The following is a 2,230-nucleotide window of genomic DNA, read 5'->3' on the forward strand; positions in this document are numbered from 1 at the left end:
CAGTATGCACGTAGCTGCTAAGGGCCACATCTAGGGTGAACAACTCATCCTGGTTTGCTCAGGACTTCCCTGGTTTTAGTACTGTAAGTCCCACATATCCCAACCCTCTTCAGTCCTTGGCAAACTCAAATAGTTGGCCCCCCATGCCTACTCCTCAGCAATACCTGTGTGTACATAGGGTTGGAGTGTGTCACAGAATGAGGGTAATGGTTAGGAGGTAATAATAGACTCATTCAACACAATGTTTTTGACTCCCAGAGTAAACTAGACTGCTTGAGCAGAGGTAAGTGTATTCAAAACTGGAGTTCCAGAACATTATCAATCCTTTTGGGGGCCTATGTGCCCATGACCGTGATGTCAGACAATTTTTAGACATGGCCCTTGGGAAGACTCAACAAACAGAAGAGAAAGAGATGTTTTCTACAAAATACCTAATCTAGAAGGTGGAATCTGGACCCACAGGCCCACCTCATTTGTCTTGTTCATCCAGAAAGATGGTTTTATAAACTTTGTGTTAGAATTCGTCTCAAGGCTGTCCCAGTTCCATCCTCCCTGTTGCCTTACACATGCCTCTATACACACAAATATTACCTGCTGGATCCTGGAAGGTATCTGAGTTTGTGACTCCTGGCCTAAAGAGTACTGTTTGTACTATTCTTTATTCTGGTGGTGAGAGAAAGAAAGGGTTAAGTTCAGGAGTTGAGAAATAACACCAGCTGCAAAAAGTAACTCATTTGGTGGGAAAATTGGGCATAATTTAAGTGCATTGATTAGTTAATAATGCTTACTGAACCATCACCAGTACTTAAAACAGGGGGAATACATAGAAAAGATAAGAGCTGACACCAGAGAAAGTAGTTAGAAAATTTTCAGGTCTGTGAAGATTTGGGCATCCCCAGAAGCCAACCCTGAGGAGAGGATCCATGTTCGAGCCTTTCAATGGGAGGTGATCTCAGGTATCCCTACTGTGGAGTGGGAATGTGACTCAGGGAAGGAAGCCAATAAAAGGTACCTCTGTCTGGTCCCCTTGGGAAAGCCTCGGGGAGAATGCAGAACGGAAACCTCAGAGTAGCCCCTGTGAGTGATGTCATGATTTGTGACACTAATGTCTCCAAATGGAGTCACTCACGTCAAGTGGCATTGAGCCCACAGTGAAGTCATTTCCCCTTCAACACAATAAACATATGGGATGGCCTGAGGTCATAATATTGCACCTGCTGCTGCCGGGTGTCACCCCAGGCCTGAAACCAACCTACGGGAAGTGGAAGATGGCTGAGATAATGAGAATAGACCCATCTACTGTGGATCATAAAGACAGCAAAAATCTGGCCTTCTCCAAGATGCCTTCAGAGGCTCTGCCCTTGAGAACTCTGAGGCCTTCTCCCAACTTTGGCGAGGCTGTGCCAGAGAGAAGCAGAGATCCCCCCAACCAGTGTTGGAAGGGCATCTGGACCCATGCAACTCATCGGTGGGTGCCTTGGTCTCCAGAGCTATCATTGTGGCTCCTTATCCTCTTTTTATTACTGCCTGTGCATTGAATATTAATTGCATGATTGATGGTGTGTGAAGCCCTCACAATAAACCATGAATTGGAGCACATATGTGAAATTGAGTCATTGCAACACCTTCTGCTTTGGTCTGAGTTAGCACACCTAGTGTAAATGTTTTATTGAGTCACTGTGAAACCTGCTTTGGTCTGAGTTAGCACACCTAGGTGGCATGAACCTAATTAACTTATCAGTGAGGAGAGAGGGGAGCAAGCCGGAATGTTTTTTCACCAATTCTGGTCAGCCAGTGGTTGAGGGCTGCTTCCGGGGGCATAAAATCCTTGACACTTCCAGCCTGCCTTAAAGAAAGCTGTGAATCAGACAGTTGGGGCTAGTTGGTATTCAGGCTGCACTCCCTGGTGAGGGGCTGCAGAGGGCACAGCTGGCTAGCAGCCTCAATAGCACACATATTTTCTGCTGCCATTGCAGTACCCAGACCTTAGGGGAGATGTCTGTCCCAAAAGGTAGACAGTGCTGGATGTTTACATTTTACCAGTGTTCTTGGCAGTGAGCCCAAGGGTGCCCGCTAGCTGAATGAAGTAGAATGGGAATTATTATAGAATATTAGGGGGCTCACATAGCTTCTGGGAGGGCTGGAGCATCGGCCACACCATAAGATATCCCAGGGAGCACTCCACTGCTGCAGGGCCAGGCACCCACCCCACAGAGCTGTCACTGGGCGC

At 47.0% G+C, this 2,230-nt stretch overlaps 1 annotated feature.

Annotated features, from left to right (window-relative positions):
- Window positions 1,734–2,028: a silencer, noted in NCBI's record as "tiled region #1717; K562 Repressive non-DNase unmatched - State 24:Quies". NCBI's record gives its function as "represses a minimal TATA promoter and a strong SV40 promoter by Sharpr-MPRA in K562 cells {active_cell/tissue: K562}" and the evidence as "EXISTENCE:reporter gene assay evidence [ECO:0000049][PMID:27701403]".

This window comes from Homo sapiens, chromosome 9 (genome assembly GCF_000001405.40).
Source record: "Homo sapiens chromosome 9, GRCh38.p14 Primary Assembly".
Lineage (NCBI taxonomy): Eukaryota > Metazoa > Chordata > Mammalia > Primates > Hominidae > Homo > Homo sapiens.